Source organism: Homo sapiens, chromosome 2 (assembly GCF_000001405.40).
Source record: "Homo sapiens chromosome 2, GRCh38.p14 Primary Assembly".
Classification (NCBI taxonomy): domain Eukaryota; kingdom Metazoa; phylum Chordata; class Mammalia; order Primates; family Hominidae; genus Homo; species Homo sapiens.
The window spans coordinates 209797643-209822616 of NC_000002.12; the positions used below are offsets into that span (position 1 = coordinate 209797643).

Genomic DNA, 24974 nt, shown 5'->3' on the forward strand with positions numbered 1-24974 from the left:
TGTGTCTTTATGTTCCTCTGGGTATATACCCAGTAATAGGATTGCTTGGTCAAATGGTATTTCTGGTTTCTAGATCTTTGAGGAATCGACATGCTATCTTCCACAACGGTTGAACTAATTTACATTCCCACCAACAGTGTAAAAGCATTCCTATTTCTCCACAGCCTCACCAGCATCTATTGTTTACTGATTTTTTGAAAATCGCCATTCTGACTGGCATGAGATGGTATCTCATTGTGGTTTTTATTTGCATTTCTTTGATGATCAGTGATGTTGAGCTTTTTTTCATATGTTTGTCAGCTGTGTAAATGTCTTCTTTTGAGAAATGACTGTTCATATCCTTTGCCCACTTTTTGATGGACTTGTCTGTTTTTTTCTTGTAAATATGTTTAACTTCCTTGTAAATTCTGGATATTAGACTTTTGTCAGATGGGTAGATTGGAAAAATTTTCTCCCATTCTGTAGGCTGCCTGTTCACTCTGATGATAGTTTATTTTGCTATGCAGAAGCCCTTTAGTTTAATTAAATCCCATTTGTCAATTGTGGCTTCTGTTGCAATTGCTTTTTGCATTTTAGTCATGAAGTCTTTGCCCATGCATGTGTCCTGAATGCTACTGCCTAGGTTTTCTTCTAGGGTTCTTATGGTTTTGGGTTTTACATTTAAGTCTTTAATCCATCTGGAGTTAATTTTTGTATAAGGTATAAGAAAGGAGTCCAGTTTCAGTTTTCTACCTATGGCTAGCCAGTTTTGCCAGCACCATTTACTGAATAGGAGATCTTTTCCCCATTGCTTGTTTTTGTCAGGTTTGTCAAAGATCAGATGGTTGTAGATGTGTGATGTTATTTCTGAGGTCTCTGTTCTGTTTCACTGCTCTATATGTCTGTTTTGGTACCAATACCATGCTGTTTTGGTTACTGTAGCCTTGTAGTATAGTTTGAAGTCAGATAGTGTGATGCCTCCAGCTTTGTTGTTTTTGCATAAGATTGTCTTGGCTATACGGCTCTCCTTTATTTTTATTTTTATTTTTTTATTTTTATTATTATTATTTTTTTGAGATGGAGTCTTGCTCTGTCACCCAGGCTGGAATGCAGTGGTGTGATCTTGGCTCACTGAAAGCTCCACCTCCCAGGTTCACGCCATTCTCCTGCCTCAGCCTGCCGAGTAGCTGGGACTACAGGCGCCCACCACCAAGCCTGGCTAATTTTTTTTTTTTTTTTTTCTTAGTAGAGACAGGGTTTCACTGTGTTAGCCAGGATGGTCTTGATCTCCTGACCTTGTGATCCGCCCACCTCGGCCTCCCAAAGTGCTGGGATTACAGGCGCGATCCACCGTGCCCAGCCTATGGGTCTCCTTTGATAGTTCTTTGATACCATATACAATTTAAAATAAATTTTAAATTTAATTTATTTTAAATTCATTATTTTAAAAAAATAAAATAAGTGTTTTTTTTTTTTCTAATTCTGTGAAGAATGTCAATGGTAGTTTGATGGGAATAGCATTTAATCTATAAATTACTTTGGGCAGTGTGGCCATTTTCACAATATTGATTCTTCCTATTCAGGAAGATGGAATGTTTTTCCATTTGTTTGTGTCCTCTTATTTCCCTGAGCAGTGGTTTGTAGTTCTCCTTGAAAAGGTCCTTCATATCCCTTGTTAGCTGTATTTCTAGGTATTGTATTATCTTTGTAGCAATTGTGAATGGGAGTTCATTCATGATTTGGCTCGCTGCTTACCTATTGTTGGTGTAAAGGAATGCTTGTGATTTTTGCACATTGATTTTGTATACTGAGACTGCTGAAGTTGCTTAGCAGTTCAAGAAGTTTTTGGGCTGAGATGATGGGGTTTTCTATATAAAAATTATGTTGTCTGGACACTTGAGACAACTTGAGTTCCTCTCTTCCTATTTTAATACCCTTTATTCCTTTCTCTTGCCTTATTGCCCTGGCCATAACTTCCAATACTGTGTTGAATAGGAGTGGTAAGAGAGGGCATCCTTATCTTGTACCAGTTTTCAAAGGGAATGCTTCCAGCTTTTGCCCATTCAATAGGATATTGGCTATGGTTTGTCATAAACAGCTCTTATTATTTTGAGATATGTTCCATCATTACCTAGGTATTGAGAATTTTTAACATGAAGGGATGTTGGGTTTTATCAAAGGTCTTTTCTGTGTCTATTGAGATAATCATGTGCCTTTTGTCTTTCGTTCTGTTTATGTGATGAATTACGTTTATTGATTTGCATATGTTGAACCAACCTTGCTTCCCAGTGATGAAGCCAACTTGGTCATGGTGGACATCTTTTTTGATGTGCTGCTGCATTTGGTTTGCCAGTATTTTATTGAGGATTTTTGCATCAATGTTCATCAGAGATATTAGCCTGAAATTTTTTTTGTTGTGTCTCTTCCTGGTGTTGGTATCAGGATGATGCTGGCTTCATAAATGAGTTAGGGAGGAATCCCTCCTTTTTAATTGTTTGGAATAGTTTCAGAAGGAATGGTACCAGCTCTTCTTTGTATTTCTGGCAGCTGTGAATCCATCTGGTCCTGGGCTTTTTTTGGTTGGTAGGCTATTAATTACTGCATCAATTTCAGAGCTTGCTATTGGGCTATTCGGGGATTCAAATTCTTCCTGGTTTAGTCTTGGTAGGGTGTATGCATCCAGGAATTTATCCCTTTCTTCTAGATTTTCTAATTTATTTGCATAGAGGTGTTTATAGTATTCTCTGATGGTAGTTTGCATTTCTGTGGGGTCATTGGTGATATCCCCTTTATCATTTTTTACTGTGTCTATTTGATTCTTCTCTCTCTTCTTTATTAGTCTAGCTAGTGGTCTATTTGTTTTGTTATTTAAAAAAAAAAAAACAGCTCCTGGATTTGTTGATTTTTTGTAAGGTTTTTCATGTCCCTATCTTCTTCAGTTCTTCCCTGATCTTAGTTATTTCTTGTCTTCTGCTAGCTTTTGGATTAGTTTATTCTTGCCTTTCTAGCTCTTTTAATTGTGATGTTAGCAGGTCAATTTTAGATCTTTTTAGCTTTCTGATATGGACATTTAGTGCTATAAATCTCCCTCTAAACACTGCTTTAGCTGTGTCCCAAAGATTCTGGTACGTTGTCTCTTTGTTCTCATTGGTTTCAAATAACTTCTTGATTTCTGCCTTAATTTCATTATTTACCCAGGAGTCATTCAGGAGCAAGTTGTTCAATTTTCATGAAATCATGTGGTTTTGAGTTTCTTAATCCCAATTTCTAATTTGATTACACTGTGGTCTGTGAGACTGTTTGTTATGATTTCAGTTCTATTGCATTTGCTGAGGAGTGTTCTACTTCCAATTATGTAGTCGATTTTAGAATAAGTGCCAAGTGACACTGAGAAGAATGAATATTCTGTTGACTTGGGGTAGAGAGTTCTGTAAACGTCTACTAAGTCTGCTTGATCTAGAGCTTAGTTCAAGCCCTGAATATCCTTGTTAATTTTCTGTCTCATTGATCTGTGTAATACTGACATTGGGGTGTTAAAGTCTCCCACTATTACTGTTTGGGAGTCTAAGTCTCTTTTTAGGTCTCTAAGAACTTGTTTTATGAATCTGGGTGCTCCTGTATTGGGTACATATATATTTAAAATAGCTCTTCCTATTGAATTGTTCCCTTCACCATTATGTAATGCCTTTCTTTGCCTTTTTTGATCTTTGCTGGTTTAAAGTCTGTTTTGTCAGAGACTAGGATTGCAACCCCTGCTTTTTTTTTTTTTTTTTTTTTTTTTGACGGAATCTTCCTCTGTTGTCCAGGCTGAAGTGCAGTGGCACAATCTCGGCTCACTGCAATCTCTGCCTCTTGGATTCAAGCGATTCTCCTGCCTCAGCCTCCCGAGTAGCTGGGATTACAGGTGCCTGCTACCACGCCTGACTAATTTTTGTATTTTTAGTAGAGATGGGGTTTCACCATGTAGGCCAGGCTGGTCTTGAACTCCAGACCTTGTGATCCACCCACCTCGGCCTCCCAAAGTGCTGGGATTACAGGTGTGATCTACCATGCCCGGCCAACCCCTGCTTTTTTTTTTTTTTTTTGCTTTTTATCTGACTTACCTTTTCATTTGATAATTTTTAAATGATCTACCTCCAACTGGCACTAGAATCAGGCTACATGGGTGCATTGTTTTTGAAAGATTTCTTAGAATTGTTTAAAGCACAGTCATATTAATACAATTTTTTAACCAAAATACTACTATCTTGCGCTTTAAAAAAATAATATGTAAATAATGTATATGTCTTTGTGTCTTTCTTTGGACTTTAAAAGCAAGTGGCCTAGTTGAATAATCTTCTGCTGGTAGAGAATATGAAATTTTGATAGCAATTTTGGTTGTGTAAACAGGGTTGTTTGTATTTATCCACTGATTTACTGTCCCAGGTCAATGGCGATAAGCATTTAAAATTATATAATATACATGGAATCTTAAAAAGTGTTGAACTTGTAGAAGTAGAGTAGAATGGTAGTTATCAGAAGCTGGGAGAGGGGGATGGATGGGGAAAGGGAGATGTTGATCAAAGGGTATAAAATTTCAGTTAGATGAGAGGAAGGAGCTTTAGTGATCTGTTGCACAGAGTGGTGACTATAATAAACAATAAAGCATTGTTTATTTCAAAATTATTAAAAGAGCAGGTTTTAAATATTTTTACCACAAAAAAAGTATGTGAGATGATGATGAATCTGTAACTTAGTTTGAGTTAATCATGCCATAATATGAACATATATTAAAACATCACATTGTACTTCATAAATATATAATATTATCCATCAATTTAAAACAAAAATTTGAAAGTTAAAAATTTTAAAAGTAATATGGAAGGAACTCTGTGAGGATAATCAATCCCATCTCCTATAACTTAGCTAATGTACTAACAACTTTAAGCAATGATCAATTTAGTGCTCCCTCTTGAAGTTTGTTTTAGTTTTAGGTAGCTCTGTTTAGTGGAATGTCCTTCTTATACATCATCAAAATTTGTTTTTCTGTAGTTTCTGTCTATGGTTCTTGCATTTTTTTTAACTTCTCTGTAACACACATTTATTATCTTTCGATTTTAGGGGAAAACCCAGGCACAAGTTAGTTGAGTTCTCTGCTTCAGGGTCTTACCAAGCTGAAATCTAGGTGTTGGCATGGACTGCAGTTGCCTCACAGGCTTAACTGGGGAAATATCCAGTTACAGTTTCTCTCAGGTTGTTGACAGAATTCATTTCCTTGCAGTTCTAGGACTAAGGTCCTTGTTTTCTTGCTGGATATTGGCTGGTGACTGGTCTTAGTTTCTGAAGCCTGCCCACAGTTATTTTCCACATGGCCCTCTTCATAAGCTACCTCAAAATATGGTAGCTGATTTGTTCAAAACCAGCAAGGGAGAGAAATCCTCTCTAATTCCAGTCTGCTAATACAGTGTTTACAATGTGACACAACCACAGGAGTGATGTCTCATTACCTTTGTCATATAAGGTAACCTAATTATGGGAGTGACATCCCTTTACCTTTTCCATATTTTATTGGTCATAAATACATCACAGTTCCTGCCTGCACTCAAGAGAAGATGATAAAGGGTGTGAACACCATCAGATGGGAATCAAGGGCGTTTCTCCTAAAATCTGGCTACACAGTTCTTTTGAAGATGTACAAACTCTTCCTATATTAGCCTTCCACTGACTCAAAAGTAACCATTATGACCACCAGCACCTCCACAAGGGTTTCATTTTATTTGATGACAACAAAGTTATCAATGACATAATTAAATCAGATTTGGGGAAAGGTAGTTACTTAGGACACAGACTAAGAGAATAACAATAAGAACTACCTTTTTGGATATCTATGTGTACAAAATTGTACTAGAGTCTCTACATTTATTGTATTATTTAAATATTCATATATTCATTTATTTCTATGTCAGTATATGCCACCATTATTGGCCTAGATATTCTAGTCAAAAATATGAGGTTCACTCCACATCAAGTCCTTTACATTCTGCCTTCTTAATGTCTGTCAAATCTTTTTTCTCCAACCTCATAGTCACTGGCTTGGTTCATATCCTTATCATTTCTTACTTGGATTTCTTTTTTTAATTTAATTTTTTAGAGACAGGGTCTCACTCTGCCACTGAGACTGGAGTGCAGTGGCATGATGACAGCTCACTGTAACCTCAGACTCCTAGGCTTAAGCAATTCTTCTGCCACAGCCTCCCAAGTGGATAAGAATACAATGTGCACCATCAAGTCCCACTATTTTTAAAAACATTTTTTTTGTAGAGACGTGGTCTTGCTATGTTGCCCAGGCTGGTCTTGAACCCCTGGCCTCAAGTGATCCTCCTGCCTCAGCCTTTCACAGTGCTGGGATTACAGGTGTGAGCTGCCATTCCCAGCCTTTATTTAGATTTCTGCAACTGCTTCCAAACAAGTATTTCTACATTAATCATTACTTCCTACTCATCTATTACCTATGAGATGTTACCAAAGTGATTTAAAATACCTGTGGACTAAAGAGATATGGTTATCTGCACCAAACACGCCCAACATACAGTGGTAAAATAGGCATAGGATACCTGCTCTGGACATGTATAATCAAAGAGAGAAAATGAGAGGCACTCGTCCTTATTAGTTTTGAAATTAAGGTGGAAAAATATTGGAAGGTCCTTGATTAAAACTCAGTGCTATTCCTGCCCATGGTTCTTGGCTCCACCCTCTGGGCTATTAATTCTATCCTCCAAATCAGCTTTCCTTTTTCAAAAAAGATTGCATGTGTTTACAGCTGAGTAGTTTCCTCAGCTTGCTTCCTGCCAGTAAAGTTTTGGGAGTCTAATAGCCTCTTTTTTCCTCTTGTACTGTCTCTGGAAGTGTTTTTGCTGATACAATTATTTTTAAAACTTTGTGGGTTCACTGTGAATCTTTTTAGGGTCCACTAGAATGGAAAAAATCCACATCTACAAATCTCTGAGATAATCTCATTTCTATTTTGTGCTTCTGTTGAACCTCTAAGAAACTTAAGTGCCCTTAAGTTTCTTAGAAGTTATATATATATATATGTAAAAAAGTTATAAATATTTGGATTTGAATCACACTCTCAACATTTAATTTAGAGAGTTTTTTTTTTGTTTTGTTTTGTTTTTTTTTTGAGACAAAGTCTCGCTCTGTCACCCAGGCTGGAGTGTAGTGGCGCAATCTCGGCTCACTGCAAGCTCCGAAAGGGCCTTTTATCTAATGGAACGGTATTCTTGGGTATGGCCTGAGATCATTCTGAAGTCAACAAATGACTGTGCAACTCCCACCCTTGGCTTCATCTTTAGACCACATTTTTCCAAAAGTTCTTTATATTTGATGTATTATCAGAAGCCATTTCTTAATTTTAGCATTATTTCCCATCTGGAGAAGCTGAGATTTTTCAAAATCAAGTTCCAGCTCATTAGTCTTTAACAGTTCTTCCTTTAGTTCATAACTTTTCTCCCTCAACTTACTATAAGAGCAAGAAGAAATTAGAAGGCACCTTCAACATTTTATTTGGAAGTCTCCTTTGTTAGATCACCCAGTTTGTTAGGCACTTATTTTTTAACTTTCCACATCACAGCTAAGCAACTTTCTGTTACTACATAACAAGGATTCTCCTTCTCCAGTTCCCAATAGTACACTCCTTACTTCTTGTTAAGAAACAATTTTCAAAATTAGGGTTTTATCTTGGTTCCAAAATCTGTATTAGCTGTCAATTTCTATGTAACAAATTATCCCAAATCCTAGCAGTTTAAAACAAAGGACGTTTATTTTTTTGCATAGTTTCTGAGGATCATGAATGCTGAAACAGCTTAGCTGAGTGATTGTGGCACAGAGTCTCTCAAGCTGTTGGCCAGGCCTGCAGGTATCTGAAGGCTTGACTGGTCTGAAGGCTTTGCTTTCAAGCTCACTCAGATGGCCATTGGCCAGAGGACACAATTCCTCACCATCTGTGTCTCTCCATAGGGCTGCTCATAACATAGAATCTGGTTTCCCCAAAACAAATTATTCAAGAAAGAAAGGGAGCATCAAAAATGGATGCTTTTATAACCTAATCTTCTATAACCTAATCTTCTATAACCTAATCTTTTATAACCTAATCTTTTATAACCTAATCTTTTACAACCTAATCTCTGAAATGACATACCATCAATTCTGCTATACTCTTTGGATCACACCAACTAATTTTAGTGCAGAGTGGGAAGGGACCACAATAGAATGTGAATAGCAGGAGGCAGGGATCATCGGGGGCTATGTTGGAGGCTGGCTGTAATAATGATAATGTCACCATCATTTAATATATTAAAATTTTTGTGGCTATTTCTGTACATATTTTTTCACATCAATTGTTGAGCATTCCTTGTCCACTAATTCTGTTTTATACAAATTCCAAAAAGTTTAACTTAATTTCAAATAAGAGTAAGTAATCTTTTACTTCAAATGCTACGCTTCTGTCTGACTTTTAAACATATCATAAAAACCAAGAACAGTGTAAAATCCTGAGGTCATAAAAATATTCATTAGCTTATATTTCTTATATAATCTTTCTCATCCATAATAAGCATAGAAATTTACAAATATAGACATGTAGACAGTAAATGATGTTTCTTTTCTCTGACAAAATCAAGTGTTAATGGTTCCATTCTGATTTGCCAGTAAAAACAAAAGCCAGCTATAATGTTCAAGACTACTATTTGTGAACAGATATTTTTTTCTTATTCTCTGATATGTCAATACTCAAGCTCTCTCTCTATATATATATTTATATGCATTCCCTGACATATATGTGCGTAGTCGCCCACAGCAACGTACACCCACATGTGTTAATTAGACATGAATCAGTGGCACTTTGGAAAAATGAATGAGGTTTTCTCTCTGCCCAGCTGCAGTGGTTGGTTGCCATGGAAATGATGCAAAGTAAAACTTTCAGAAAATACAAATGTTCATGTGTCTTTATTGGAAGAGCTCATGCATTAATCAGAAAAGAAGAGAACTTTAATAACAAAACAATGCCAATATCCTAGTAACAAAAGCTGTCTGCATGTATCAAATACAATTCATTATCTCTTTTGCTCTGAACTTAAGTGAACTGCACATCAGTCTTCTCTGCACTCTGCAATAAGTAAACAGGTAGCTAGTTTTTAAATTAATGTTAGATTTCATCTTTAATTACTATATGCAGAGAGTTGATTTATGCTTCAGTAAATACTGCATAGAGTCAAGACTGACAGTTCTTTGCTTCCATAGATTGTTATTTCCGGAGTGCTTATCTGCCTTCAATACTTTCTGCTATCAGGTCTCAACCCTAATTAATGATAACTTGACTTTCCAAAGCCATAGTTGCTTGGAAAGTAGACTAAAGAAATTCTTGCCAGTTTTGAAATTCTTTTCTGTCATAACATGTTGTTTATTCTTATGCATATAATTTTGTATAGGGTCAATTACAGAAAAAATGTAAACACATACAATATTTTTAAAATAAGTGAAAATCATCCATGAGCCATCAGGTAGCTATAAACATTAATAACTTTTTATATATGTGCTTTTCTTCATTATTTTTACATATATCATTTAGAAGAAAAGTTGTATTCATATTATTTTATAACATTTTCATTTTTAATTTTTTCCAGGAAATAACTTTTAGATTCAGAGGATATTAGAGTTGAAAAGAACTTTTCTATCACATGATCTAAGAAGCTTCCCTCATGTCATTTTTTTTTTTTTTTTTTGAGACGGAGTCTTGCTGTGTCGCCCAGGCTGGAGTGCAGTGGTGCTGTCTCGGCTCACTGCAAGCTCTGCCTCCTGGGTTCACGCCATTCTTCTGCCTCAGCCTCCCAAGTAGCTGGGACTATAGGCGCCCACCACCACGCCCAGCTATTTTTTGTATTTTTAGTAGAAACGGGGTTTCACCGTGTTAGCCAGGATGGTCTCGATCTCCTGACCTCGTGATCCGCCTGCCTCAGCCTCCCAAAGTGCTCAGATTACAGGCATGAGCCACCACACCTGGCCTCCCTCATGTCATTTTTATCCAGTTGTGAAAATTTATTTCTCACATGTTAGTCTGCTGGTTAATTAAAATGACTTTTATTGGATGGTGATACTTTGATCGTACCTGATAATACTATCTTAAATGAAATAAAAATATTTATTGATAGTTCTTGCTTTTTATTGAATATTAAGTGCAGTACAGCTCACACATTAAGTCAAATAAACTAGTGATTGGATAACACCTTAAAGGGAGGTACTTAAATATTTGCTACTGAACGTCTTGTTAATTTATTGATATTTTCAAATGGAGTCTCTTTCAATATCAATCAATTGAAATGTGATTTTACTTAACAAATTTTGATTACATAAGATACGGATATGTTTCTAGTCTCTGATCACAGCCTTATGTTGTTGGAGTCTTGCTGTTCTGCAGCCCATCATCTGCTGAACTAACATGCCCTGTTAGAAAATAGTTAATGCTTATGGGACTCAACTGTACAGTTGGTAATTACTTTCAAACAATACATTTTGTATATAGAGAAAGATACCAATTTAGTCATCTGTTGCCCTCAGGGACAACACCGTCAGCGTATCTTCTCAGTTACGGTGATTCCATATAGGATTATTAAGAGTGTTCAAGGCTGGGCGTGGTGGTTCACGCCTGTAATCCTAGCACTTTGGGAAGCCGAGGCGAGTGGGTCACCTGAGGTCAGATGTTCGAGACCAGCCTGGCCAACATGGAGAAACCTCCTCTCTACTAAAAATACAAAAATTAGCCAGGCGTCGTGGCGGGCACCTGTAATCTCAGCTACTCAGGAGATTGAGGCAGGAGAATCACTTGAACCCGGAAGCGGAGGTTGTAGTGAGCCGATATCGCGCCACTAAAAAAAAAAAAAAAAAAAGTAAGGCGGGCCCAGGCTGCTACTGCGCGAGCCCAGCCAGGCCCGGCCCACTTGCTCAGAGCGTGGCCTTAGGGGGAGGCACGCCTCCAATTGGCGCGAAAGTGATAAAGAGGCGTGGCCGGAAAGGTCCCACCCTGCTCCCCTGGAGTACTTAAGGGAGTTGGCGGAGCGGCTGCACTCATTGCTCCAAGGCTCGGCCTAGTGAGTGGGTCGCCTGCGCTACTTCTGCGCTACTCAGCGACCTCGTTGCCTCTGCCACCATGCCGCGCTCTTTCCTCGTCAGGAAGCTCCCTGACCCTGATCGGAAGCCCAACTACAGCAAACTGCCGGACTCGAATCCAGAGTTTACCTTCCAGCAGCAGCCCTACCACCAGGCCCACCTTAACTCCACTGCTTTGCTGCCAACACTCATCTGGGACGCCTTCCTGGCGCTCCAAGCACAACCAACTGCCAGGGCCTCCCTCCAACTGAGACTCCCCCAAGAGAGTTTCAAGGCGGCAGAACTGACCTCACTGTCGGATGAGGACAGCGGGAAAGGCTCCCAGTCCCCCAGCCCACGTTCACAGCCTTCTTCGTCTTTCTCCTCCACTTCAGCTTCTTCCTTGGAGGCGGAGGCCGATACCACCTTCCCAGGCTTGGGCCAAGTGTGCAAGCAGCTGGCCCAGGTCTCTGAGGCCAAGGATTCCCAGTTTCAAAAAGCCTTCAACTGCCAATACTGCAATAAGGAATGCCTCAGCCTGGGTGCCCTCAAGAAACACATCCGAAGCCACACGCTGCCCTTCGCCTGCGAAACCTGCGGGAAGGCCTTCTCCAGACCCTGGCTGCTGCGGGGCCATGTCCGGACCCACACTGGTGAGAAGCCCTTCTCCTGTACCCACTGCAGCCGTGCCTTCGCCGACCGCTCCAACCTGCGGGCCCACCTCCAGACCCACTTGGACGTCAAGAAGTACCAGTGCCAGGCGTGCGCTCGAACCTTCTCCCGAATGGCCCTGCTCCACAAGCACCAAGAGTCGGGCTGCTCAGGGGGCCCTCGCTGACCCTAGAGGCTCCCTCTTCCTCTCCCTACCAGACACCCTGCCCCCGCCAACCAACAGCCTCCCCAAGCTCCAGAAGGAAGGAGTACACCATGTCCTCATGCCACAGAATTCCCTCCTGAGCGCCCCCATTTCTGGATGCATCAGCCGCACGGGACTTTGATGAAAACCATTTTCCGGTTCTGTTTCCTCTGCTGGATCCTTCAGTGGACTCTGAAAGAGGCCTTCCCGTGGCCATGTCTGTGGATGGCTGGCGGGAGGGCAGCTGGCAGCCCCAGCTTGGGGGCATTCTTGAACTGGCTTTTCTGCATGTGTTTGTGTATTTAGAACTGTTTGGATACAGCTGTTTGAGCTACAGGACAAGAGCTGACAGACAGTGTCCACCCCAGTCAGGGGACCCTCCCCACTCCTTCCCCGAAGGAGCCCTCAGGCCACCCTCCGCGAGGTTTGACTATGCAATAATCCACCCCCAGTTTCAGCCATGGGGCCTTCGAAGGCGGTGGCTGACACCAGGACGTGTCAGAGCCTAAGATGCTCTGGGCCTGAGCAGCTATTTCAGCTTCCTGTTTGGTGTGGTTGGCACCTGTTTCCCAGGCAATTTAACAATGTCTCAAGAGGGACTGTAAGTAATGGTTGTCACTTGTCGGTGGCCTAAGTGGGGTGCTCTGGTCTGCCCAATGTATCTCCCAGAACTATTTTGGGAACCCAACAGGTAGGCCTGGGAGGAAGATGTTTACATTTTTAAAAGTACATTGGTACTTATATTTCATACATTTTGTATCAAGGAAACGTTTTGTATAGTTAATGTGTGCAGTTTATTGATATCCAATAAAGCAATTTGTGTATTTTTTAAAAAGAGTATTCAAGGAGTACCTGAGAATGTTGTTTAAAATAAAGATTCCTGGACCTCATCCTCTGAAATTCTGGTTTAGGAAGTCTGGGGCAAGACCTGGTGCCTGCGTTTTTAACAACCTCCCTCCTTCGTATCCTTCTTGGAAGGAAGGATTCTCATGAACGTGGTTCATGGTTATCTCATATGGAGCACTGCTCTAGGGATTTGAAGTAATTTATGGAACTCCCTAATCTAATTTACTAACTAGAAACATTTGGGGACTTTAAAGTGTGGGGCAGAGGGTAACGGGTGAAGAACAACTACCAGCTATTCCAATGGGGAGGAAATAATTTGGTCGAACTAATAATAACTGTCTTAACCACAGCAGACTAGTCAAGAAAACAACAGTTTCACAGGCTCTTATAATAAATCAAATGATTTTCACAAAGCCTTGAGGACCTAAAATTACCCAGCTGGTAGCCAGCCAACCCTATACTTTGTCTTTTGTTTATAAATCCAAGATTACAGCATGGGGGTGGGGGGAAGGAAATCCTGTCATCTGAGGTATAAATGATAGGCTGAGAGGAGTGGGTTGCGTGCGTCATTCATCTTTAAGAAGGAGAAATGGGATGGGTGGGCGAAGGGAGAGCAGTGAAAGCCTTTTAGGAAATGGGTAGAAATGAAAATCAAAGTTTTTAGTTTCCTTCAAACTGGGTCTCAGGATACACAAGTGGCACTCAGGGTCTCAGGAGTAATCAAGTGGCATGCTGGACAATTTGAGAAAATATTAAAACAGGGCTTTTTACCCAAAAATGTATTTGGGGCTGAGAGGCAATAAATCAATAACTGGCACACCAGGGCAAGCATAATAGAGAATGAGTTTGGAATGGTAAACCCAGCCAGACTATTCAGGCCTGGTTCACTACTGTAAGGGAGCTTGCATTTTATTCTAAGGGGATTGAATAATATATTGAAAGGATTTGAGCCAGGGAGTGGAGGAATAAGAGGAAAAACTAGTAGATTAATAGGAAGTAATTGCAATAAGCCTGATGAGAGATGTTAGTGGCTAGAACTAGGGTGGTGTCTGTGGAACTGATGAGAAGTGGTTGGAAGGAGATTCTGTAAGACTTTATGATAGATTAAAAGTTGTCACAAAACGGATGTCCAAAGAATATTCTAGGTCTCTGGAAAAAGGATAAACTCTGGCATAGCATATACGGGAATTTAGGGATTGTAGAAGGCTTCTTTTCATATGACTGCCAACTCACTTCTGTGTTTGAACTTCAGTTTATATTTATTTCCTACTTGTCAAAATATTCAAGAATATTAGACTGTAAGATAGCATTGAAATTCAAAACCATTGTGTACACAGGCAATTGTACCTCAATCCATCAGACAATGCTATTAACAAGAGAAAAAATAATAAAGTATGGTATGTGCTTCGATAGGGAAGTAGAAGAGCTGTAAAAATAATTTGCAGGGCACAGATACGGTTTGGATTTGTATTTTTGAACTTTTTACTGAAACCCACAGTCAGAAATGTATTTTACCAATGACTCAAAACAAATGGTCATTAAGTGAGACAAAAGTTTCACCAAACATCCAAGTCCTTACTCCATAGTATTTTTGTTTTTGTTTTTGTTCTGTTTTGTTTTTTTGAGATGGAGTCTCGCTCCGTAGCCCAGGCTGGAGTGCAGTGGCGCTATCTCGGCTCACTGCAAGCTCCGCCTCCCGGGTTCACGCCATTCTCCTGCCTCAGCCTCCGGAGTAGCTGAGACTACAGGCGCCCGCCACCAAGAGCGGCTAATTTTTTTTTTTTTTTTTCTATTTTTAGTAGAGACGGGGTTTCACCGTGTTAGCCAGGATGGTGTCGACCTCCTGACCCCGTGATCCGTCCGCCTCGGCCTCCCAAAGTGCTGGGATTACAGGCGTGAGCCACCGCGCCTGGCACCATAGTTTTTATTCTAGTTAATAGGTTAAAATAGTAGCTGTGTCCTATGGAATTATTTTCTTGAACCACTAGTGAGCCGTAGATTTTTTAATTAAAAAAATATGAGCCTAAGAAGTTTAGGAAAATCCCTACTCACTCTCTGTGGCTGCGTTTTTTGTGAGAGCACTTTGTATGTGGGTAGCATCATTTGCTAGTTCATGGTAGGGTACAAACATCTCTCTTTTGCATCACCTAAATCAGAAGGAAATTGTGCTTGGGAGTTAAGTTTAGATTTTAGATTTAAGATACCATCTTGGATCCCGGAAGTTCTAAGTTTATATTTTGTCACTTATTGTCTGTCTTTCTTACCAGACCACATGTTCAAGGTGAGAAAGTTAAACTTACCTTTAAATCTGAATTTTGTGGGACACAAACATTCAATTTGTTGAACCTAAGATACATAGGATGGTGTATTAATCTGAGTAATTTCTTAAAACTACTTTGTAGTAGAATTAAATTGAACACTAGGTAATGAATATATTATGTGTTCAAATTGAATAATAGAATCCCAGGAACTTGAGATTTTTAAAAAATTAGTCTTGCTCTCTTGCAAGGATATATAACTTTAGAATTTTCAAACTTATTTTATTTATTTTCCTCATAGCAAAACTTCTGTTTCTTAGCATTTTGTAGCTTTTCCTTAGTTATTTTACATAATATTTTCACAACTGAAATTAAAATAGCTCAATGAAGTAGGCAAGGCAAATATCATTTCTGTTTCTATCAGGGTAAAAGTCAAACCTGATCTTAGCATAAAGGAAGCATTTTAATCTGAACCTCATCTATTTCTATAGCTCTCACTCTCATCATTGTCCATCACCCAAATTACTCACCAATTACTTAGGGTCTCCCCTTCAAACTCGTGGTTTTTAAAATTCATGCCTTTGTAGGCATTGTTCCCTCTGACAGAAATGCTAATCCTCCCTCCTGCCCAAACCTCAACTTTGCCTTGCTAATTCCTATCCATCCTTCAAAACTCTCTCAATATCTCTACTTTCAGGAGATGTTTAGTGAAAGTGGAATGAGAGAGACCAGTTGGAAGGATATTAGAGTAAACTACGTAAGAAACAAGTAAATGAATAACTAAACAAATGAGAAAAGTAGAGCTATAAGCCATGCTGTGCTGCCCCTCTGAAAGCTTGATTGTCAGTATAATTATCTTCTTTCTGCCATGGAACAGGGCCTCTCTTGTGATACCTCCGTGCCAAAGGTCCCGCTATGCCACCTACTTTGACGTTGCTGTTCTGCGCTGCCTACTTCAGCCCCATTGGTCTGAGGAAGGCACTCAGTGGTCTCTGATGTACTATCTACAAAGGCTGCGACACATGTTGGAAGAGAAGCCAGAAAAGCCTCCGGAGCCAGATATTCCTCTCCTGCCCAGACCCAGGAGTAGCTCCATGGTGGCAGCAGCTCCCTCACTAGTGAACACCCACAAAACCCAAGTAAGAAAAACCCGGTTCATTGTCATTCAAACCAGCAACTTTGCCATAATGGATTCTTTTTTTCTCTGTGCATCCAGCTCTTAGGTACTCTAGTGCTGACTTTTTGGTTGGTGGGTTACACTGTTTCTATTATCTTTTCCCTTCCATCTTGCATGCTTGACCCTTTGCTGGCTTTAGCACTTAATCATTTGAAGAAGTGCACCTCTTGCACATGCTAATTTAGTATAAGTCTTTGTTTATCTGGAATAGTGGAAAATTGGGTCTTCTGGATAATCAAAGTAGTAATTAATAGAGAGTTCTGACATTAAATCTGTTGATTACCAATATCATAAAATCTGTAACATAGGATTTTACTAAACGTGATGTAACCTCTTTTGCATAACTCAACATTTCCAGTGTCTTTTTTTTTTTTGAGATGAAGTCTCGCTCTGTCGCCCAGGCTGGGGTGCAGTGGCACGATCTTGGCTCACTGCAAGCTCCGCCTACCGGGTTCACGCCATTCTCCTGCCTCAGCCTCCTGAGTAGCTGGGACTGCAGGACTACAGGCGCCCGCCACCACACCCGGCTAATTTTTTTGTATTTTTTCAGTAGAGACAGGGTTTCACCGTGTTAGCCAGGATTGTCTCGATCTCCTGACCTCGTGATCCACCTGCTTTAGCCTCCCAAAGTGCTGGGATTACAGGCATGAGCCACCGCGCCTGGCCAACATTTTCCAGTGTCTTAATGTCATCATTAGGAATATTGCATTTTGATAGTCTTGCTATTTATTATAAATGTTTAGAGAAGTAAACTGAATGTGTACTGATATGGTGATATCTTCATGGCAATTGCTTTTTGGTAAATGAATGACCTAATACCAGCTTGAACACTTGTTCTTGCCCTCTTTCTCGTCAACACCAGGTGTTGAAAATGTAGAGAAAAATGTGACTTGTAGTGTGTTCCAGTTGTTTGGATTTACTTAAATGTGAATTGGCTGAGTCTGAAATTTTTTTCTGCATATTCTGAAAACAAACATGAGCAATAGCAGAGTTAAAAGGAAATATAATCTGTTTTAGTAGTAGATATTCTGCCTAAGTGGATATCTGCTTTACTGAATCATTCAATGGAAAAAACAAAACAAAACACTCTTTTTAATTAAAAAAAAAAGAGAGATCCATCTTCTCTCTATTTTCTTAGCATTCTAAATCTGGGGCTACATGACCTCACTACTGAAAACTTCAAACAGAAATTACAATTAATATGAAATATATATTCTCACTAGCAGAATTTGGATTCCAGAAGTCCAGACATACAAGTTCAATTGTTCAAAGATGTCAAAGCTATAGGCGCATCCCTATTAAAAATGTGACATTTCAATAAGAACAGTATTTGGATGTAAAGTCCTAAGTCCTTGATCACTGTCTACCTTTATTAAGGATCTCACCATGAAGTGTAACGAGGAGGAAAAATCTCTTAGCTCTGAGGCCTTTTCCAAGGTTTCACTGACCAATCTGCGTAGATCTGCAGTCCCAGATCTTTCTTCAGACCTGGGCATGAATATTTTTAAAAAGGTGAGTAGAAATGCTTATGCTCTTTGATATTTTGGTAAATAAAAAATGTCAGTGGGACATGAGATGTTTCTGATGATACTGCAGTATGGGGTGAGGTGGGAAAGGGAACTTAGAAACCGAAGTCAGCTCCTAGATGTGACACTGACTTGCAGCATACCCCTGTGCAAGTCCCTCTGTGTGAATGAGTGAACTTCCTATTCTAAATGCTCCACAGGGTTGTCATGAAGCTCAATTCTGATCATATGCATAAAGCAGTGTAAAGTAGTGTGGTGGTGGAAGTAGTTGTGGTAACGATGATGGTAACTTTCAACTCATTTTTGGTTCAACTCATTTTTATCAAGTACTTTATATAAATAGTTCTCATTTAATCCAATGACATCCTTATTCTCCTCATTTTGCAGGTAAGAAATTGACCCTTAGAAATTTTAGGTAGTTTGCCCAAGATTGAGTCCAAACTCAAAAGTAGGTCTTCTAGTTAAATACGTTATATTTTTCTGCCATTACTCTGCCTCTCTTTTTTGTAAGTAATTGGAGATAAACAGAAAATAATATGTGTAGACCTGTGTATATGTATATATATAGTGGTTTGCTTTCTCTTTTTCAAAACTGTTAGTTTAGTTATGCCAACAAAGAACACAGAACACGATATTAACTTATTATGAGCTGAAAGTGTTGCTAAGTAAGCAGTTTTCTGCCTTTGTTAATGATGCAACAAAAGACAATGGCTATCAATTTTCTTAAAACATTGATCATTTGAAAGGAAAAAAGTGGTTTTCAATACAGGCTGCATATGATAATTTTTAAGGAGCTTTAAAAAATACATCTTCAGATTCAATCCCAGACCAATTAAACCAGAATTGCTGAAGGTAGGCTAAGGAATTGTTATATTTTAAAAGCTTCCCTAGCAGTTCTAAACTTTTAGTTGCACTTGGTTTTGAACTTGTTTGGTAGGAATGATGGGTTTGTGGCAATGTATGGTCTGTATCTTCTTTGACTCTTCTTACGAACAGTGGCGCACATTTAAAGTTGGCTAACTGAAACAATGGATCACCATCATGAAAAATGAAACAGAAAAAGAGAGGCTGGTTCAAGTAGTGACTCTAACCTTGTGATTTGCAAACTTTAGTGTGCATCAGAATTACCTACCAGACTTGTTAAGACACACATTGCTGGACCTCAGCTTCTGAGGGTCTAATATAATATGTCTGAGAATTTGCATTTCTAATAAGTTCCCAAGTGATGCTGATGCTGCTGGTCCAGGGACCACACTTTGCAAACCACTAGTCTAACCAAACCCAGGAGAAAGGCCCACGGAATACATGGCCTTTTACTTAGTTTCTTTCACTCTTTTAATGTGAAATTTCTCCCATTTTTATTGGATGATATTCAGTGACTTTCTGGGTCTTCTCTTCCTGGCACATTTCTTGTATTTTACTGCAGATCATGGAGCCCCTTGGGAAGCAGATTGTAACCTTTTCTTTGCCCTGTGCCTAATTCTACACCTCTCATCACTGTAGTTCAAGAGCCGCAAAGAAGACCGAGAGAGGAAAGGCTCCATTCCATTCCACCACACAGGCAAGAGGAGGCCACGGAGAATGGGAGTGCCCTTCCTGCTTCACGAGGACCACCTGGATGTGTCCCCCACGCGCAGCACATTCTCCTTTGGAAGTTTCTCTGGGCTGGGAGAAGACAGGCGAGGAATTGAGAAAGGAGGCTGGCAAACCACCATTTTAGGTGACCACAAGGCCTTCCAAAATAGGGCAGAGTTTAAGTGACCTGTTTAGAACTGGATCTAGGGCTTCTGGGCAAATCTGAATCTTTCTTGAACAATTCAGCCAAGAAATTTGGGGCTCAAATTCAGGTTCTCCAGTACCAAAATAATGCTGTGTTTTCACAGCCAAATAAATCCAGATAATTGACGTAATTATGCAAGAGTTCTGTGAAATTGGACAGGTAACAATCTTATTTCTTAGATCATTCTAGACAAAGAAACATGGCCTTAGGGTGCTCTGTGCATTAATTTCCATTGTGAATCTACACAGCAGATTTTTATTAAACTTGGATTTTTTTTGAAAAAAGCAAAGCAAAGGAAAAAAAATATATATATTATATATATTTTCTTTCTGGATTGCATACTAAATAGGCCAATTTAAAATTGGGAGCTGACAGCTAGCTGGGCCACAACAGACGGTTTCTGACATTTGGCTAAGATTGGGGCTGACCTTATCACAGGCAGCTTCATCAATCATCCTGACCCTGAATATCCCCATGGCAAGTTCAGTTCTTGCTTTTTTTGTCTGTGTTTCACACTTTTCCTAACAGCCCCACACTCTCCCTGCTGTCCTTGGGAAAGACAATATCTTGGCAGAATAACTTTCAGATTTTAAAACCCTCTTGTGGGGTGCTCTTATTCATCCCAGGGAAATTGACCCGGCGAGGCAGTTCAGATGCAGCCACTGAGATGGAGAGTCTGAGCGCCAGGCATTCCCACTCCCATCACACCCTGGTAAGCGACCTGCCGGACCCCTCCAACAGCCATGGAGAAAACACCGTCAAGGAAGGTGGGTAGGAGGTGGGGCCTACGGGCAGGAGTTCAGAGTTCTTTTTTTGTTTTCTGTCCTTACACCATGTTACTTTCCCATTGTAATCCGCTTCCTGTGTTTTCTGAAAACTGGCATTCTTGTGCTGAATTGCTTTTGTTAGCCATTCTTAGCATATCCTTAGTAGCAAGAACTATTTAACACCGCACTGTAAACACCATACCTCTCACAGGGAGAGCAAGGACAAGCCATTCATATTTCTTTTCAAAAGCTCATAGACCCACAGGGCTGAAAGAGACCTTGGAAGACATCTAGATTCAGTGCTTCGATTCCCTCTATGAGATCTCTCTGAAGGGCTTGTATACCTTCAGCGGGAGGAAAGTCACTGCCTTCCAAGGCCACCAATTTTTTTTTTTTTTGAGACAGCTTCTATTTTAGATAAGTTCTTGTGTGTTTTGTGTGCAGCAAACATGTGTCTCTGGGTATAATCCAAGACAGGTTCTCATTCTGTACTTTTAACAGAATAATTGATTTTTTTCTTATGTTCTCATAGAAGCATAAATTTAGTCCCTCTTTGATCTGCACTGTATTTCAGGTATTCAATGATATCTGTTAGTTACCACCACAAATTTATTTTCAGTTACTTTTAGCCAAAGGAGAAAAAAATTATTCATGTTTGTTGTTCCTTAATATACTGGATAAAAATGCTATAAACAAATAGTTTATATCAGTATGATCTATCATCTAACAATGGGTAAAATTCATCCATTCTGATCAACTAAACTAAGTCAGTGTTAGACAGAAGTTAAATCCTAATCTCAGCCTTAAGGAAGCCAGTTATAATTCACATTTTCTACAATCTTTAATATTTTCCACACATCATATGGCCTTAGTAGCTTCAGTAGTCCCATGAGAGCTGAGACTAGCTTTGAGACTATAAGTTAAATATTTTCAAAAACTACAGCTGTTATTGTGGTCATGATTGAAGTAATAGTATAACTGTCTAACTGGTATTGTAGGTTAATGTAGGGAGAACTAAGACATTGCTTTCATTTTATTAGTGCGATCTCAGATCTCCACCATCACAGTTGCGACCTTCAATACCACTTTGGCGTCATTCAACGTAGGCTATGCAGACTTTTTCAATGAGCATATGAGGAAACTCTGCAACCAGGTGCCTATCCCGGAGATGCCACATGAACCTCTGGCATGTGCTAACCTACCTCGAAGCCTCACAGACTCCTGCATAAACTACAGCTACCTAGAGGACACAGAACATATTGACGGGACCAATAACTTTGTCCACAAGAATGGAATGCTTGATCTTTCTGTAAGAAGCAAGAATTTTTCTTACCAAAGTTAGACAGATATTAATTATTTGGTGCATTTTTGCAATGTTATATAAAATGGGCATATAGATTCTTAGAAATATCAAACCTTGAAATGAAAAAGCCACCCACTGAAAAAAATTCACCAATGTTTCAACCATCATAGGTGCACCTTACTTTTTTTTCAAGCATTGCATTAGATTTGATCTGATCTCAGAATATTTTTATAATCCAAAACCATTAGTGAATCCTGAATATACATATATAAATACACATACGTGTGTGTTTAATAAGTCTGTTATGTCTAGAATGAGGGCAAAAAAATTCTTCACTTATTTTATTTTGGTATTAACAAGACTACAAACCTCCTGTGTAACCAGAAAAAAATGAATAGAAATTCTTAAAAGTTTTAAGCTTGCATTCTCAAGAGTGCCTGTCTCAAGTATAGTTATTAGCAAATGAAGGGGTTGTTGTATTTTACAATTATATTTCACAAAATTTTATTGCACATTAGGAATCCTGGCTTAGCAAATAATTTACAATATTAAAACCAATAAAGGAACATAATTTAAACATGCAAATATTTTGTACTTTAAATGAAATATGAATAATGATACAGTCATGAACGAGCAAAAGGAAATCATTGTTCTTTATCCATTATTAGTAATGAATGAAAGACAGGAGATTAAAACATTTTTATTTTAAAAAATCAATAGAACAAGTTTCCATTTGGACAAATAGTTACTCTCTCATTAACTCACTGTGCTTCAATATCCCCATTAACTGTTGATATCATAGCATGTTTTGGAAGATGTACATGAGATAATACATGTATATATTTTTAATACTTTGGGTGACTTACACGCTCTATTAAGTAAATACACAAGATTCCACAGCAACTTTTATAGGAAAATTTGACAGTTGTCTAAATTATTTCTACCCAATTTCATAGACTAGCCTAAGGAAATGGGTTAAACAGAATAATCAGATCTCTTTAGGAAGAGGGAGTGCAGGTAACTTAATCATGCTGTGTTTATCTTGTTTTCCTCAGGTAGTTCTGAAGGCTGTTTATCTTGTCCTTAATCATGACATCAGCTCTCGTATCTGTGACGTGGCGCTAAACATTGTGGAATGCTTGCTTCAACTTGGTGTGGTGCCCTGTGTAGAAAAGAATAGAAAGAAGAGTGAAAACAAGGAAAATGAGACCTTGGAAAAGAGGCCAAGTGAGGGAGCTTTCCAATTCAAAGGAGTATCTGGAAGTTCCACCTGTGGATTCGGAGGCCCTGCTGTTAGTGGAGCTGGAGATGGTGGAGGAGAAGAAGGAGGAGGTGGAGATGGAGGAGGTGGAGGAGGTGATGGAGGAGGAGGTGGAGGAGGTGGAGGCGGCCCTTATGAGAAGAATGATAAGAACCAAGAGAAGGTATGACTGAACCACCTTATGTGTCCTCATGAAATGTCATACCTAATTTCTTTCTAAAGCTTGCTTGCCAGCAGTTTATTGAATCTGAACAGCACCTAGTCACTAGAGCAAAAAAGTGGAGAGTGGAGAAATCTCTTCATTAGGTTCTCAGTAGGCATTAGCAGAAACAGTTGAATGCAACTGTACTCTAAATCCAATATCTATTGCCATCCAAGCAGTGTTAGAGCTAATTCTCTAGTCGTTATTTCTGCAAGAGAACATTTCAGTTATGCTATGTTGCCATAATTCTCAGTCTGACGCCAAGTATAACCTTTCTGAAAACTTTCAGACTCTGACCTAATTGAAGAATGTCTTAGTCTCCTCAAGCTGCCATAACAAAATACCATAGACTGAGTGGCTTAAACAATAGAAATTTATTTCTCATGGTTCTGGAGGCTGGGAAGTCCAAGTGCTGTCAGGTTTAGTTTTATTCTGAAGCCTCTTCTCTTGCCTTGTAGGTGACCACTGTCTTATTGTGTTCTCATGTGGCCTCTTCTTTGTGCATGCAGAGAAAGCAAAAGAGAGAGAGCAAAAGAGCTTCCTTGTGTTTCTTCTTATATGGGCCCAATCCCACTAGACCAGGCCCCACCATCATGACCTCACTTAACCCTAATTACCTCCCAAAGACCCATCTTCAAATACCATCGGATTGAGGGATTACAGCTTCAATATGTGAATTTTGCTAATACACAAATATTCAGCCCATAACAAGCAATATAATTTTTCCTCAATGTAAAATTATTTCTTTTAAGTAACACATTTTTGGCAGCCAGCTTCAACCACAGTTAAGGGGAAAGCAAGAGAAGAATTTTGCTTGATTAGTTTGTGTTGGTTTGAAGTGGGACTAACTCTCCTAGCCTCATTCAGCCCTCTCATGTCTCAATGTGGCACATCCCCATGGCTTTAGTCTTTCTATTATTAATTGTTCCTAAATTTAATTCCCTCTGCCTTGTCAACATCTGGTATATGATTTCTTAACATCAAGAATTGGTTTTCTTTTTTAATTTTAAATACAAATTACTACAGCTTAAATTCACATAACTTACACTAATCTCAATTTATGGTTTCAGCTAGGAAATGATATTCAGAAATTGAAATCAACAAGAGATTTTAATCTCTAACAAATACTCTACACATCATGTCAAGTGTTTACACATGTGAAGTTATACTGTGTAGAGTTCTAGATATATACCATCTAGATATATATTGTATAAACTATAAATTGTCCATTTTTCTTACATGTTATCATATTTTCACATCTGAGCAAGCGTTGCAATACTCCTTCCTCTTTCACAATTTCTTCCTCATTTCTTTCGAGTCCCACTTGACACATGTTTAATATGCATTTATCATCTGGTTTCTTCATTTTATTGTTTACTCTTTTCTTCCCAATATTTGTGGACTCTGATCCAAATATCCTTGCTCCGATAATCTTGGTTGCTGAGCCTTTTCTATACGATTTTCTTCTCTTGCCTTGAATGTATTAATCATAAGGCAATTCTAACAAACTATTGGATTTTAAGTTTCCCAACACCTTAGCACCTTATCTATCACTGAGGACAATGCAAGGAACTTCAGATCTGACTGTAAATGAAAATTATCTAAATAATGGTATAGATCACAAGAGATTTGATTGCATATGCTAAGATCTAAAGAATCATTCAGTGATCAGTTACTTAGGAATTAACAAACAAATACAAGTTATAAGGCCCAAATTTATAAACACAGAAACTGGTGAGATTCTTACTGAATTTCCATTTTTTACATATCAACTCTGTCTGGACAAAGAGATTAGAAGTGGTGTTTTGCCCATTATAATATTCAAGGGAAATTAGAAACCAAAAAAAAGAGAATATTATGAAATATTGATAAGCTTTTATCAGCAAAGCTTAGATGTT

The 24974-nt window shown here is 39.0% G+C and overlaps 1 protein-coding gene and 1 pseudogene across 3 annotated transcripts in view, besides 1 other annotated feature; both read left to right on the top strand.

Moving 5' to 3' along the window:
• The window catches only part of UNC80 (unc-80 subunit of NALCN channel complex), a 227465-nt gene that overhangs the window by 25811 nt on the left and 176680 nt on the right, over positions 1–24974 (top strand). For all 3 annotated transcript variants that reach the window (NM_032504.2, NM_001371986.1, NM_182587.4), the window contains exons 8-13: positions 15938–16199; positions 17615–17749; positions 19267–19483; positions 20170–20310; positions 21351–21619; positions 22669–23037. In NM_032504.2, the coding sequence (NP_115893.1) occupies positions 15938–16199; positions 17615–17749; positions 19267–19483; positions 20170–20310; positions 21351–21619; positions 22669–23037 (1393 nt within the window). The remainder of the gene's footprint in view (positions 1–15937; positions 16200–17614; positions 17750–19266; positions 19484–20169; positions 20311–21350; positions 21620–22668; positions 23038–24974) is intronic.
• SNAI1P1 (snail family zinc finger 1 pseudogene 1) lies at positions 11082–12782 on the top strand (annotated as a pseudogene).
• Positions 20243–20537: a silencer, noted in NCBI's record as "tiled region #8450; K562 Repressive non-DNase unmatched - State 24:Quies". NCBI's record gives its function as "represses a minimal TATA promoter and a strong SV40 promoter by Sharpr-MPRA in K562 cells {active_cell/tissue: K562}" and the evidence as "EXISTENCE:reporter gene assay evidence [ECO:0000049][PMID:27701403]".